Below are 16,533 nucleotides of genomic sequence, written 5' to 3' on the forward strand. Positions count from 1 at the left end.
TGATTGCATTCAACTCCCAGAGTTGAACATTCCTTTTGATAGAGCAGTTTGCAAACACTCTTTTTGTAGAATCTGCAAGTGGAGATTTGGACCGCTTTGAGGCCTGTGGTAGGGAAGGAAAGAACTTCATATAAAAACCAGACGGTAGCACTCTCAGAAAATTCTTTGTGACGATGGAGTTTAACTCAGGGAGCTGAACATTCCTTATGATGGAGCAGTTTCCAAACACACGTTTTGTAGAATCTGCGAGGGGATATTTGGACCTCTCTGAGGATTTCGTTGGAAACGGGATCAACTTCCCATAACTGAACGGAAGCAAACTCAGAACATTCTTTGTGATGTTTGTATTCAACTCACAGAGTTGAACCTTCCTTTGATAGTTCAGGTTTGCAACACCCTTGTAGTAGAATCTGCAAGTGTATATTTTGACCACTTTGTAGCCTTCGTTTGAAACGTCTATATCTTCACATCAAACCTAGACAGAAGCATTCTCAGAAAGTTTTCTGCGATGACTGCATTCAACTCACAGAGTTGAACAATCCTTCTGATGGAGCAGTTTTGAAACCCTCTTTCTTTGGAATCTGCAAGGGGATATGTGGACCTCTTTGAAGATTTCACTGGAAACGGGATCATCTTCACATAAAAACTAAACAGAAGCATTCTCGGAAACTACTTTGTGATGTTTGTATTCAACTCCCAGAGTTGAACTTTCCTTGTGAAAGAGCAGCTATGAAACACTCTTTTTCGAGAATCTGCAAGTGGACGTTTGGAGGGCTTTGAGGCCTGTGGGGAAAAGGAAATATCTTCACATAAAAACTAGATAGAAGCATTCTCAGAAACGACTTTGTGAGGATGGCATTCAACTCATGGAGTTGAACAATCCTATTGATAGAGCAGATTGGAATCACTCTTTTGGTAGAATCTGCAAATGGAGATTTGAACTGCTTTGAGGCCTACGGTCGTATAGGAAGGAACTTCATATAAAAGGCAAACGGAAGCATTCTCAGAATATTCTTTGTGATGATGGAGTTTCACTCACAGAGCTGAACATGCCTTTTGATGGAGCAGTTTCCAAATACACTTTTGGTAGAATCTGCAGGTGGATATTTGGACCTCTCTGAGGATTTCGTTGGAAACGGGAATAATTTCCTATACCTAAACACAAACACTCTGAGAAAGTTCTTCATGATGAATGCATTTAACTCGCAGAGATGAACCTGCCTTTGAGAGTTCAGGTTCGAAACACTCTTTCTGTAGAATCTGCAAGTGGATATTTGGACCACTGGCTGGCCTTCGTTCGAAACGGGTATATGTTCACGTAAAAACTAAAGAGAAGCATTCTCAGAAACTTCTGAGTGATGATTGCATTCAAGTCACACAGTTGAACCCTCCTTTTGATGGAGCAGTTTTGAAACTGTCTTTTTGTAGAATCTGTAAGTGGATACAGTGGACCTCTTTGAAGATTTCTTTGGAAACGGGAATATTTCCACAGAAAAACTAAACTGAAGCATTCTCAGAAACCGCTTTGTGATGTTTGTGTTCGAGCCACAGAGTTTAACATTGCTTTTCATAGAGCAGTTTTGAAATATTCTTTTCGCAGAATCTGCAAGTGGACATTTGGAGCGCTTTCAGGCCTGTGGTGGAAAAGGCCTGAAAGCCTTTTCCTTTATCTTCACAGAAAGACGAGAGAGAAGCATTGTCAGAAACTTCTTTGTGATGATTGCATTCAACTCACAGAGTTGAAGATTCCTTTTGAAACAGCAGTTTCGAAACACTCTTTCTGTGGGATCCGCAAGGTGATATTTGGACCTCTTTGAAGGTTTCATTGGAAACGGGATAATCTTCACCTAAAAGCTAAACGGAAGCATTCTCAGAAACTTCTTTGGGATGTTTGCATTCACCTCACAGAGTTGAACTTTCCCTTTGATAGCGCAGCTTTGACACACTTTTTCTACAATGTGCAAGTGGCTATTTAGCGGGCTTGGAGGACTGTGTTGGAAAAGGAAATATCTTCTCCTAAAAACGACATAGAAGCATTCTCAGAAACTGCTCTGTGATGATTGCATTCAACTCCCAGAGTTGAACATTCCTTTTGATAGAGCAGTTTGCAAACACTCTTTTTGTAGAATCTGCAAGTGGAGATTTGGACCGCTTTGAGGCCTGTGGTAATAAAGGAAAGAACTTCATATAAAAACCAGACGGTAGCACTCTCAGAAAATTCTTTGTGACGATGGAGTTTAACTCAGAGAGCTGAACATTCGTTATGATGGAGCAGTTTCCAAACACACGTTTTGTAGAATCTGCAAGGGGATATTTGGAACTCTCTGAGGATTTCGTTGGAAACGGGATCAACTTCCCATAACTGAACGGAAGCAAACTCAGAACATTCTTTGTGATGTTTGTATTCAATTCACAGAGTTGAACCTTCCTTTGATAGTTCAGGTTTGCAACACCCTTGTAGTAGAATCTGCAAGTGTATATTTTGACCACTTTGTAGCCTTCGTTTGAAACGTCTATATCTTCACATCAAACCTAGACAGAAGCATTCTTAGAAAGTTTTCTGCGATGACTGCATTCAACTCACAGAGTTGAACAATCCTTCTGATGGAGCAGTTTTGAAACCCTCTTTCTTTGGAATCTGCAAGGGAATATGTGGACCTCTTTGAAGATTTCACTGGAAACGGGATCATCTTCACATAAAAACTAAATATAAGCATTCTCGGAAACTACTTTGGGATGTTTGTATTCAACTCCCAGAGTTGAACTTTCCTTTTGGAAGAGCAGCTATGAAACACTCTTTTTCGAGAATCTGCAAGTGGACGTTTGGAGGGCTTTGAGGCCTGTGGTGGAAAAGGAAATATCTTCACATAAAAACTAGATAGAAGCATTCTCAGAAACGACTTTGTGAGGATGGCATTCAACTCATGGAGTTGAACAATCCTATTGATAGAGCAGATTGGAATCACTCTTTTTGTGGAATCTGCAAATGGAGATTTGGACTGCTTTGAGGCCTACGGTCGTATAGGAAGGAACTTCAGATAAAAGGCAAACGGAAGCATTCTCAGAATATTCTTTGTGATGATGGAGTTTCACTCACAGAGCTGAACATGCCTTTTGATGGAGCAGTTTCCAAATACACTTTTGGTAGAATCTGCAGGTGGATATTTGGACCACTCTGAGGATTTCGTTGGAAACGGGAATAATTTCCCATAACTAAGCACAAACACTCTGAGAAAGTTCTTCATGATGAATGCATTTAACTCGCAGAGATGAACCTGCCTTTGAGAGTTCAGGTTCGAAACACTCTTTCTGTAGAATCTGCAAGTGGATATTTGGACCACTGGGTGGCCTTCGTTCGAAACGGGTATATGTTCACGTAAAAACTAAAGAGAAGCATTCTCAGAAACTTCTGAGTGATGATTGCATTCAAGTCACACAGTTGAACCCTCCTTTTGATGGAGCAGTTTTGAAACTGTCTTTTTGTAGAATCTGTAAGTGGATACGTGGACCTCTTTGAAGATTTCTTTGGAAACGGGAATATTTCCACAGAAAAACTAAACTGAAGCATTCTCAGAAACTGCTTTGTGATGTTTGTGTTCGAGCCACAGAGTTTAACATTGCTTTTCATAGAGCAGTTTTGAAATATTCTTTTGGCAGAATCTGCAAGTGGACATTTGGAGCGCTTTCAGGCCTGTGGTGGAAAAGGCCTGAAAGCCTTTTCCTTTATCTTCACAGAAAGACGAGAGAGAAGCATTGTCAGAAACTTCTTTGTGATCATTGCATTCAACTCACAGAGTTGAAGATTCCTTTTGAAACAGCAGTTTCGAAACACTCTTTCTGTGGGATCCGCAAGGGGATATTTGGACCTCTTTGAAGATTTCGTTGGAAACGGGATAATCTTCACCTAAAAGCTAAACGGAAGCATTCTCAGAAACTTCTTTGGGATGTTTGCATTCACCTCACAGAGTTGAACTTTCCCTTTGATAGCGCAGCTTTGACACACTTTTTCTACAATGTGCAAGTGGCTATTTAGCGGGCTTGGAGGACTGTGTTGGAAAAGGAAATATCTTCTCCTAAAAACGACATAGAAGCATTCTCAGAAACTGCTCTGTGATGATTGCATTCAACTCCCAGAGTTGAACATTCCTTTTGATAGAGCAGTTTGCAAACACTCTTTTTGTAGAATCTGCAAGTGGAGATTTGGACCGCTTTGAGGCCTGTGGTAGTGAAGGAAAGAACTTCATATAAAAACCAGACGGTAGCACTCTCAGAAAATTCTTTGTGACGATGGAGTTTAACTCAGGGAGCTGAACATTCGTTATGATGGAGCAGTTTCCAAACACACGTTTTGTAGAATCTGCAAGGGGATATTTGGACCTCTCTGAGGATTTCGTTGGAAACGGGATCAACTTCCCATAACTGAACGGAAGCAAACTCAGAACATTCTTTGTGATGTTTGTATTCAACTCACAGAGTTGAACCTTCCTTTGATAGTTCAGGTTTGCAACACCCTTGTAGTAGAATCTGCAAGTGTATATTTTGACCACTTTGTAGCCTTCGTTTGAAACGTCTATATCTTCACATCAAACCTAGAAAGAAGCATTCTCAGAAAGTTTGCTGTGATGACTGCATTCAACTCACAGAGTTGAACAATCCTTTTGATGGAGCAGTTTTGAAACCATCTTTCTTTGGAATCTGCAAGGGGATATGTGGACCTCTTTGAAGAATTCACTGGAAACGGGATCATCTTCACATAAAAACTAAACAGAAGCATTCTCGGAAACTACTTTGTGATGTTTGTATTCAACTCCCAGAGTTGAACTTTCCTTTTGAAAGAGCAGCTATGAAACACTCTTTTTCGAGAATCTGCAAGTGGACGTTTGGAGGGCTTTGAGGCCTGTGGTGGAAAAGGATATATCTTCACATAAAAACTAGATAGAAGCATTCTCAGAAACTACTTTGTGAGGATGGCATTCAACTCATGGAGTTGAACAATCCTATTGATAGAGCAGATTGGAATCACTCTTTTTGTAGAATCTGCAAATGGAGATTTGGACTGCTTTGAGGCCTACGGTCGTATAGGAAGGAACTTCAGATAAAAGGCAAACGGAAGCATTCTCAGAATATTCTTTGTGATGATGGAGTTTCACTCACAGAGCTGAACATGCCTTTTGATGGAGCAGTTTCCAAATACACTTTTGGTAGAATCTGCAGGTGGATATTTGGACCACTCTGAGGATTTCGTTGGAAACGGGAATAATTTCCCATAACTAAACACAAACACTCTGAGAAAGTTCTTCATGATGAATGCATTTAACTCGCAGAGATGAACCTGCCTTTGAGAGTTCAGGTTCGAAACACTCTTTCTGTAGAATCTGCAAGTGGATATTTGGACCACTGGCTGGCCTTCGTTCGAAACGGGTATATGTTCACGTAAAAACTAAAGAGAAGCATTCTCAGAAACTTCTGAGTGATGATTGCATTCAAGTCACACAGTTGAACCCGCCTTTTGATTGAGCAGTTTTGAAACTGTCTTTTTGTAGAATCTGTAAGTGGATACGTGGACCTCTTGGAAGATGTCTTTGGAAACGGGAATATTTCCACAGAAAAACTAAACTGAAGCATTCTCAGAAACTGCTTTGTGATGTTGGTGTTCGAGCCGCAGAGTTTAACATTGCTTTTCATAGAGCAGTTTTGAAATATTCTTTTGGCAGAATCTGCAAGTGGACATTTAGAGCGTTTTCAGGCCTGTGGTGGAAAAGGCCTGAAAGCCTTTTCCTTTATCTTCACAGAAAGACGAGAGAGAAGCATTGTCAGAAACTTCTTTGTGATGATTGCATTCAACTCACAGAGTTGAAGATTCCTTTTGAAACAGCAGTTTCGAAACACTCTTTCTGTGGGATCCGCAAGGGGATATTTGGACCTCTTTGAAGGTTTCGTTGGAAACGGGATAATCTTCACCTAAAAGCTAAACGGAAGCATTCTCAGAAACTTCTTTGGGATGTTTGCATTCACCTCACAGAGTTGAACTTTCCCTTTGATAGCGCAGCTTTGACACACTTTTTCTACAATGTGCAAGTGGCTATTTAGCGGGCTTGGAGGACTGTGTTGGAAAAGGAAATATCTTCTCCTAAAAACGACATAGAAGCATTCTCAGAAACTGCTCTGTGATGATTGCATTCAACTCCCAGAGTTGAACATTCCTTTTGATAGAGCAGTTTGCAAACACTCTTTTTGTAGAATCTGCAAGTGGAGATTTGGACCGCTTTGAGGCCTGTGGTAGTGAAGGAAAGAACTTCATATAAAAACCAGACGGTAGCACTCTCAGAAAATTCTTTGTGACGATGGAGTTTAACTCAGGGAGCTGAACATTCGTTATGATGGAGCAGTTTCCAAACACACGTTTTGTAGAATCTGCAAGGGGATATTTGGACCTCTCTGAGGATTTCGTTGGAAACGGGATCAACTTCCCATAACTGAACGGAAGCAAACTCAGAACATTCTTTGTGATGTTTGTATTCAACTCACAGAGTTGAACCTTCCTTTGATAGTTCAGGTTTGCAACACCCTTGTAGTAGAATCTGCAAGTGTATATTTTGACCACTTTGTAGCCTTCGTTTGAAACGTCTATATCTTCACATCAAACCTAGACAGAAGCATTCTCAGAAAGTTTTCTGCGATGACTGCATTCAACTCACAGAGTTGAACAATCCTTCTGATGGAGCAGTTTTGAAACCCTCTTTCTTTGGAATCTGCAAGGGGATATGTGGACCTCTTTGAAGATTTCACTGGAAACGGGATCATCTTCACATAAAAACTAAACAGAAGCATTCTCGGAAACTATTTTGTGATGTTTGCATTCAACTCCCAGAGTTGAACTTTCCTTTTGAAAGAGCAGCTATGAAACACTCTTTTTCGAGAATCTGCAAGTGGACGTTTGGAGGGCTTTGAGGCCTGTGGTGGAAAAGGAAATATCTTCACACAAAAACCAGATAGAAGCATTCTCAGAAACTACTTTGTGAGGATGGCATTCAACTCATGGAGTTGAACAATCCTATTGATAGAGCAGATTGGAATCACTCTTTTTGTAGAATCTGCAAATGGAGATTTGGTCTGCTTTGAGGCCTACGGTAGTACAGGAAGGAACTTCATATAAAAGGCAAACGGAAGCATTCTCAGAATATTCTTTGTGATGATGGAGTTTTACTCACAGAGCTGAACATGCCTTTTGATGGAGCAGTTTCCAAATACACTTTTGGTAGAATCTGCAGGTGGATATTTGGAGCTCTCTGAGGATTTCGTTGGAAACGGGAATAATTTCCCATAACTAAACACAAACACTCTGAGAAAGTTCTTCATGATGAATGCATTTAACTCGCAGAGATGAACCTGCCTTTGAGAGTTCAGGTTCGAAACACTCTTTCTGTAGAATCTGCAAGTGGATATTTGGAACACTGGCTGGCCTTCGTTTGAAACGGGTATATGTTCACGTAAAAACTAAAGAGAAGCATTCTCAGAAACTTCTGAGTGATGATTGCATTCAAGTCACACAGTTGAACCCTCCTTTTGATGGAGCAGTTTTGAAACTGTCTTTTTGTAGAATCTGTAAGTGGATACGTGGACCTCTTTGAAGATTTCTTTGGAAACGGGAATATTTCCACAGAAAAACTAAACTGAAGCATTCTCAGAAACTGCTTTGTGATGTTTGTGTTCGAGCCGCAGAGTTTAACATTGCTTTTCATAGAGCAGTTTTGAAATATTCTTTTGGCAGAATCTGCAAGTGGACATTTGGAGCGCTTTCAGGCCTGTGGTGGAAATGGCCTGAAAGCCTTTTCCTTTATCTTCACAGAAAGACGAGAGAGAAGCATTGTCAGAAACTTCTTTGTGATGATTGCATTCAACTCACAGAGTTGAAGATTCCTTTTGAAACAGCAGTTTCGAAACACTCTTTCTGTGGGATCCGCAAGGGGATATTTGGACCTCTTTGAAGGTTTCGTTGGAAACGGGATAATCTTCACCTAAAAGCTAAACGGAAGCATTCTCAGAAACTTCTTTGGGATGTTTGCATTCACCTCACAGAGTTGAACTTTCCCTTTGATAGCGCAGCTTCGACACACTTTTTCTACAATGTGCAAGTGGCTATTTAGCGGGCTTGGAGGACTGTGTTGGAAAAGGAAATATCTTCTCCTAAAAACGACATAGAAGCATTCTCAGAAACTGCTCTGTGATGATTGCATTCAACTCCCAGAGTTGAACATTCCTTTTGATAGAGCAGTTTGCAAACACTCTTTTTGTAGAATCTGCAAGTGGAGATTTGGACCGCTTTGAGGCCTGTGGTAGTGAAGGAAAGAACTTCATATAAAAACCAGACGGTAGCACTCTCAGAAAATTCTTTGTGACGATGGAGTTTAACTCAGGGAGCTGAACATTCGTTATGATGGAGCAGTTTCCAAACACACGTTTTGTAGAATCTGCAAGGGGATATTTGGACCTCTCTGAGGATTTCGTTGGAAACGGGATCAACTTCCCATAACTGAACGGAAGCAAACTCAGAACATTCTTTGTGATGTTTGTATTCAACTCACAGAGTTGAACCTTCCTTTGATAGTTCAGGTTTGCAACACCCTTGTAGTAGAATCTGCAACTGTATATTTTGACCACTTTGTAGCCTTCGTTTGAAACGTCTATATCTTCACATCAAACCTAGACAGAAGCATTCTCAGAAAGTTTTCTGCGATGACTGCATTCAACTCACAGAGCTGAACAATCCTTCTGATGGAGCAGTTTTGAAACCCTCTTTCTTTGGAATCTGCAAGGGGATATGTGGACCTCTTTGAAGATTTCACTGGAAACGGGATCATCTTCACATAAAAACTAAACAGAAGCATTCTCGGAAACTACTTTGTGATGTTTGTATTCAACTCCCAGAGTTGAACTTTCCTTTTGAAAGAGCAGCTATGAAACACTCTTTTTCGAGAATCTGCAAGTGGACGTTTGGAGGGCTTTGAGGCCTGTGGTGGAAAAGGAAATATCTTCACATAAAAACTAGATAGAAGCATTCTCAGAAACTACTTTGTGAGGATGGCATTCAACTCATGGAGTTGAACAATCCTATTGATAGAGCAGATTGGAATCACTCTTTTTGTAGAATCTGCAAATGGAGATTTGGACTGCTTTGAGGCCTACAGTCGTATAGGAAGGAACTTCATATAAAAGGCAAACGGAAGCATTCTCAGAATATTCTTTTTGATGATGGAGTTTCACTCACAGAGCTGAACATGCCTTTTGATGGAGCAGTTTCCAAATACACTTTTGGTAGAATCTGCAGGTGGATATTTGGAGCTCTCTGAGGATTTCGTTGGAAACGGGAATAATTTCCCATAACTAAACACAAACACGCTGAGAAAGTTCTTCATGATGAATGCATTGAACTCGCAGAGATGAACCTGCCTTTGAGAGTTCAGGTTCGAAACACTCTTTCTGTAGAATCTGCAAGTGGATATTTGGACCACTGGGTGGCCTTCTTTCGAAACGGGTATATGTTCACGTAAAAACTAAAGAGAAGCGTTCTCAGAAACTTCTGAGTGATGATTGCATTCAAGTCACACAGTTGAACCCTCCTTTTGATTGAGCAGTTTTGAAACTGTCTTTTTGTAGAATCTGTAAGTGGATGCGTGGACCTCTTTTGAAGATTTCTTTGGAAACGGGAATATTTCCACAGAAAAACTAAACTGAAGCATTCTCAGAAACCGCTTTGTGATGTTTGTGTTCGAGCCACAGAGTTTAACATTGCTTTTCATAGAGCAGTTTTGAAATATTCTTTTCGCAGAATCTGCAAGTGGACATTTGGAGCGCTTTCAGGCCTGTGGTGGAAAAGGCCTGAAAGCCTTTTCCTTTATCTTCACAGAAAGACGAGAGAGAAGCATTGTCAGAAACTTCTTTGTGATGATTGCATTCAACTCACAGAGTTGAAGATTCCTTTTGAAACAGCAGTTTCGAAACACTCTTTCTGTGGGATCCGCAAGGGGATATTTGGACCTCTTTGAAGGTTTCGTTGGAAACGGGATAATCTTCACCTAAAAGCTAAACGGAAGCATTCTCAGAAACTTCTTTGGGATGTTTGCATTCACCTGACAGAGTTGAACTTTCCCTTTGATAGCGCAGCTTTGACACACTTTTTCTACAATGTGCAAGTGGCTATTTAGCGGGCTTGGAGGACTGTGTTGGAAAAGGAAATATCTTCTCCTAAAAACGACATAGAAGCATTCTCAGAAACTGCTCTGTGATGATTGCATTCAACTCCCAGAGTTGAACATTCCTTTTGATAGAGCAGTTTGCAAACACTCTTTTTGTAGAATCTGCAAGTGGAGATTTGGACCGCTTTGAGGCCTGTGGTAGTGAAGGAAAGAACTTCATATAAAAACCAGACGGTAGCACTCTCAGAAAATTCTTTGTGACGATGGAGTTTAACTCAGGGAGCTGAACATTCGTTATGATGGAGCAGTTTCCAAACACACGTTTTGTAGAATCTGCAAGGGGATATTTGGACCTCTCTGAGGATTTCGTTGGAAACGGGATCAACTTCCCATAACTGAACGGAAGCAAACTCAGAACATTCTTTGTGATGTTTGTATTCAACTCAGAGAGTTGAACCTTCCTTTGATAGTTCAGGTTTGCAACACCCTTGTAGTAGAATCTGCAAGTGTATATTTTGACCACTTTGTAGCCTTCGTTTGAAACGTCTATATCTTCACATCAAACCTAGACAGAAGCATTCTCAGAAAGTTTTCTGCGATGACTGCATTCAACTCACAGAGTTGAACAATCCTTTTGATGGAGCAGTTTTGAAACCCTCTTTCTTTGGAATCTGCAAGGGGATATGTGGACCTCTTTGAAGATTTCACTGGAAACGGGATCATCTTCACATAAGAACAAAAGAGAAAGCATTCTCGGAAACTACTTTGTGATGTTTGTATTCAACTCCCAGAGTTGAACTTTCCTTTTGAAAGAGCAGCTATGAAACACTCTTTTTCGAGAATCTGAAAGTGGACGTTTGGAGGGCTTTGAGGCCTGTGGTGGAAAAGGAAATATCTTCACATAAAAACTAGATAGAAGCATTCTCAGAAACGACTTTGTGAGGATGGCATTCAACTCATGGAGTTGAACAATCCTATTGATAGAGCAGATTGGAATCACTCTTTTTGTAGAATCTGCAAATGGAGATTTGGACTGCTTTGAGGCCTACGGTAGTATAGGAAGGAACTTCATATAAAAGGCAAACGGAAGCATTCTCAGAATATCTTTGTGATGATGGAGTTTCACTCACAGAGCTGAACATGCCTTTTGATGGAGCAGTTTCCAAATACACTTTTGGTAGAATCTACAGGTGGATATTTGGACCTCTCTGAGGATTTCATTGGAAAGGGCAATAATTTCCCTTAACTATACACAAACACGCTGAGAAAGTTCTTCATGTTGAATGCATTGAACTCGCAGAGATCAACCTGCCTTTGAGAGTTCAGGTTCGAAACACTCTTTCTGTAGAATCTGCAAGTGGATATTTGGACCACTGGGTGGCCTTCGTTCGAAACGGGTATATGTTCACGTAAAAACTAAACAGAAGCGTGCTCAGAAACTTCTGAGTGATGATTGCATTCAAGTCACACGGTTGAACCCTCCTTTTGATTGAGCAGTTTTGAAACTGTCTTTTTGTAGAATCTGTAAGTGGATACGTGGACCTCTTTGAAGATTTCTTTGGAAACGGGAATATTTCCACAGAAAAACTAAACTGAAGCATTCTCAGAAACCGCTTTGTGATGTTTGTGTTCGAGCCACAGAGTTTAACATTGCTTTTCATAGAGCAGTTTTGAAATATTCTTTTGGCAGAATCTGCAAGTGGACATTTGGAGTGCTTTCAGGCCTGTGGTGGAAAAGGCCTGAAAGCCTTTTCCTTTATCTTCACAGAAAGACGAGAGAGAAGCATTGTCAGAAACTTCTTTGTGATGATTGCATTCAACTCACAGAGTTGAAGATTCCTTTTGAAACAGCAGTTTCGAAACACTCTTTCTGTGGGATCCGCAAGGGGATATTTGGACCTCTTTGAAGGTTTCGTTGGAAACGGGATAATCTTCACCTAAAAGCTAAACGGAAGCATTCTCAGAAACTTCTTTGGGATGTTTGCATTCACCTCACAGAGTTGAACTTTCCCTTTGATAGCGCAGCTTTGACACACTTTTTCTACAATGTGCAAGTGGCTATTTAGCGGGCTAGGAGGACTGTGTTGGAAAAGGAAATATCTTCTCCTAAAAACGACATAGAAGCATTCTCAGAAACTGCTCTGTGATGATTGCATTCAACTCCCAGAGTTGAACATTCCTTTTGATAGAGCAGTTTGCAAACACTCTTTTTGTAGAATCTGCAAGTGGAGATTTGGACCGCTTTGAGGCCTGTGGTAGTGAAGGAAAGAACTTCATATAAAAACCAGACGGTAGCACTCTCAGAAAATTCTTTGTGACGATGGAGTTTAACTCAGGGAGCTGAACATTCGTTATGATGGAGCAGTTTCCAAACACACGTTTTGTAGAATCTGCGAGGGGATATTTGGACCTCTCTGAGGATTTCGTTGGAAACGGGATCAACTTCCCATAACTGAACGGAAGCAAACTCAGAACATTACTTTGTGATGTTTGTATTCAACTCACAGAGTTGAACCTTCCTTTGATAGTTCAGGTTTGCAACACCCTTGTAGTAGAATCTGCAAGTGTATATTTTGACCACTTTGTAGCCTTCGTTTGAAACGTCTATATCTTCACATCAAACCTAGACAGAAGCATTCTCAGAAAGTTTTCTGCGATGACTGCATTCAACTCACAGAGTTGAACAATCCTTCTGATGGAGCAGTTTTGAAACCCTCTTTCTTTGGAATCTGCAAGGGGATATGTGGACCTCTTTGAAGATTTCACTGGAAACGGGATCATCTTCACATAAAAACTAAACAGAAGCATTCTCGGAAACTACTTTGTGATGTTTGTATTCAACTCCCAGAGTTGAACTTTCCTTTGGAAAGAGCAGCTATGAAACACTCTTTTTCGAGAATCTGCAAGTGGACGTTTGGAGGGCTTTGAGGCCTGTGGTGGAAAAGGAAATATCTTCACACAAAAACCAGATAGAAGCATTCTCAGAAACGACTTTGTGAGGATGGCATTCAACTCATGGAGTTGAACAATCCTATTGATAGAGCAGATTGGAATCACTCTTTTTGTAGAATCTGCAAATGGAGATTTGGACTGCTTTGAGGCCTATGGTAGTATAGGAAGGAACTTCATATAAAAGGCAAACGGAAGCATTCTCAGAATATTCTTTGTGATGATGGAGTTTCACTCACAGCAGCTGAACATGCCTTTTGATGGAGCAGTTTCCAAATACACTTTTGGTAGAATCTGCAGGTGGATATTTGGACCTCTCTGAGGATTTCGTTGGAAACGGGAATAATTTCCCATAACTAAACACAAACACTCTGAGAAAGTTCTTCATGATGAATGCATTTAACTCGCAGAGATGAACCTGCCTTTGAGAGTTCAGGTTCGAAACACTCTTTCTGTAGAATCTGCAAGTGGATATTTGGACCACTGGCTGGCCTTCGTTCGAAACGGGTATATGTTCACGTAAAAACTAAAGAGAAGCATTCTCAGAAACTTCTGAGTGATGATTGCATTCAAGTCACACAGTTGAACCCTCCTTTTGATGGAGCAGTTTTGAAACTGTCTTTTTGTAGAATCTGTAAGTGGATACGTGGACCTCTTTGAAGATTTCTTTGGAAACGGGAATATTTCCACAGAAAAACTAAACTGAAACATTCTCAGAAACCGCTTTGTGATGTTTGTGTTCCAGCCACAGAGTTTAACATTGCTTTTCATAGAGCAGTTTTGAAATATTCTTTTCGCAGAATCTGCAAGTGGACATTTGGAGCGCTTTCAGGCCTGTGGTGGAAAAGGCCTGAAAGCCTTTTCCTTTATCTTCACAGAAAGACGAGAGAGAAGCATTGTCAGAAACTTCTTTGTGATGATTGCATTCAACTCACAGAGTTGAAGATTCCTTTTGAAACAGCAGTTTCGAAACACTCTTTCTGTGGGATCCGCAAGGGGATATTTGGACCTCTTTGAAGGTTTCGTTGGAAACGGGATAATCTTCACCTAAAAGCTAAACGGAAGCATTCTCAGAAACTTCTTTGGGATGTTTGCATTCACCTCACAGAGTTGAACTTTCCCTTTGATAGCGCAGCTTTGACACACTTTTTCTACAATGTGCAAGTGGCTATTTAGCGGGCTTGGAGGATTGTGTTGGAAAAGGAAATATCTTCTCCTAAAAACGACATAGAAGCATTCTCAGAAACTGCTCTGTGATGATTGCATTCAACTCCCAGAGTTGAACATTCCTTTTGATAGAGCAGTTTGCAAACACTCTTTTTGTAGAATCTGCAAGTGGAGATTTGGACCGCTTTGAGGCCTGTGGTAGTGAAGGAAAGAACTTCATATAAAAACCAGACGGTAGCACTCTCAGAAAATTCCTTGTGACGATGGAGTTTAACTCAGAGAGCTGAACATTCGTTATGATGGGGCAGTTTCCAAACACACGTTTTGTAGAATCTGCAAGGGGATATTTGGACCTCTCTGAGGATTTCGTTGGAAACGGGATCAACTTCCCATAACTGAACGGAAGCAAACTCAGAACATTCTTTGTGATGTTTGTATTCAACTCACAGAGTTGAACCTTCCTTTGATAGTTCAGGTTTGCATCACCCTTGTAGTAGAATCTGCAAGTGTATATGTTGACCACTATGTAGCCTTCGTTTGAAACGTCTATATCTTCACATCAAACCTAGACAGAAGCATTCTCAGAAAGTTTTCTGCGATGACTGCATTCAACTCACAGAGTTGAACAATCCTTTTGATGGAGCAGTTTTGAAACCCTCTTTCTTTGGAATCTGCAAGGGGATATGTGGACCTCTTTGAAGATTTCACTGGAAACGGGATCATCTTCACATAAGAACTAAACAGAAGCATTCTCAGAAACTACTTTGTGATGTTTGTATTCAGCTCCCAGAGTTGAACTTTCCTTTTGAAAGAGCAGCTATGAAACACCCTTTTTCGAGAATCTGCAAGTGGACGTTTGGAGGGCTTTGAGGCCTGTGGGGGAAAAGGAAATATCTTCACATAAAAACTAGATAGAAGCATTCTCAGAAACTACTTTGTGAGGATGGCATTCAACTCATGGAGTTGAACAGTCCTATTGATAGAGCAGATTGGAATCACTCTTTTTGTAGAATCTGCAAATGGAGATTTGGACTGCTTTGAGGCCTACGGTAGTATAGGAAGGAACTTCATATAAAAGGCAAACGGAAGCATTCTCAGAATATTCTTTGTGATGATGGAGTTTCACTCACAGAGCTGAACATGCCTTTTGATGGAGCAGTTTCCAAATACACTTTTGGTAGAATCTGCAGGTGGATATTTGGAGCTCTCTGAGGATTTCGTTGGAAACGGGAATAATTTCCCATAACTAAACACAAACACGCTGAGAAAGTTCTTCATGATGAATGCATTGAACTCGGAGAGATGAACCTGCCTTTGAGAGTTCAGGTTCGAAACACTCTTTCTGTAGAATCTGCAAGTGGATATTTGGACCACTGTGTGGCCTTCGTTCGAAACGGGTATATGTTCACGTAAAAACTAAAGAGAAGCATTCTCAGAAACTTCTGAGTGATGATTGCATTCAAGTCACACGGTTGAACCCTCCTTTTGATTGAGCAGTTTTGAAACTGTCTTTTTGTAGAATCTGTAAGTGGATACGTGGACCTCTTTTAAGATTTCTTTCGAAACGGGAATATTTCCACAGAAAAACTAAACTGAAGCATTCTCAGAAACTGCTTTGTGATGTTTGTGTTCGAGCCACAGAGTTTAACATTGCTTTTCATAGAGCAGTTTTGAAATATTCTTTTGGCAGAATCTGCAAGTGGACATTTGGAGCGCTTTCAGGCCTGTGGTGGAAAAGGCCTGAAAGCCTTTTCCTTTATCTTCACAGAAAGACGAGAGAGAAGCATTGTCAGAAACTTCTTTGTGATGATTGCATTCAACTCACAGAGTTGAAGATTCCTTTTGAAACAGCAGTTTCGAAACACTCTTTCTGTGGGATCCGCAAGGGGATATTTGGACCTCTTTGAAGATTTCGTTGGAAACGGGATAATCTTCACCTAAAAGCTAAACGGAAGCATTCTCAGAAACTTCTTTGGGATGTTTGCATTCACCTCACAGAGTTGAACTTTCCCTTTGATAGCGCAGCTTTGACACACTTTTTCTACAATGTGCAAGTGGCTATTTAGCGGGCTAGGAGGACTGTGTTGGAAAAGGAAATATCTTCTCCTAAAAACGACATAGAAGCATTCTCAGAAACTGCTCTGTGATGATTGCATTCAACTCCCAGGAGTTGAACATTCCTTTTGATAGAGCAGTTTGCAAACACTCTTTTTGTAGAATC

General features: G+C 40.6%; 1 annotated feature.

Annotated features, from left to right (window-relative positions):
• Positions 1–16,533: part of a centromere (Linear centromere model derived predominantly from reads generated in PMID: 17803354. This region does not represent an actual centromere sequence, as long-range ordering of repeats and unmapped WGS contigs is not provided by the model. For details of model production, see http://arxiv.org/abs/1307.0035.) that runs on past both edges of the window.

The sequence above is a fragment of the Homo sapiens genome, chromosome X (assembly GCF_000001405.40).
Source record: "Homo sapiens chromosome X, GRCh38.p14 Primary Assembly".
NCBI lineage: Eukaryota > Metazoa > Chordata > Mammalia > Primates > Hominidae > Homo > Homo sapiens.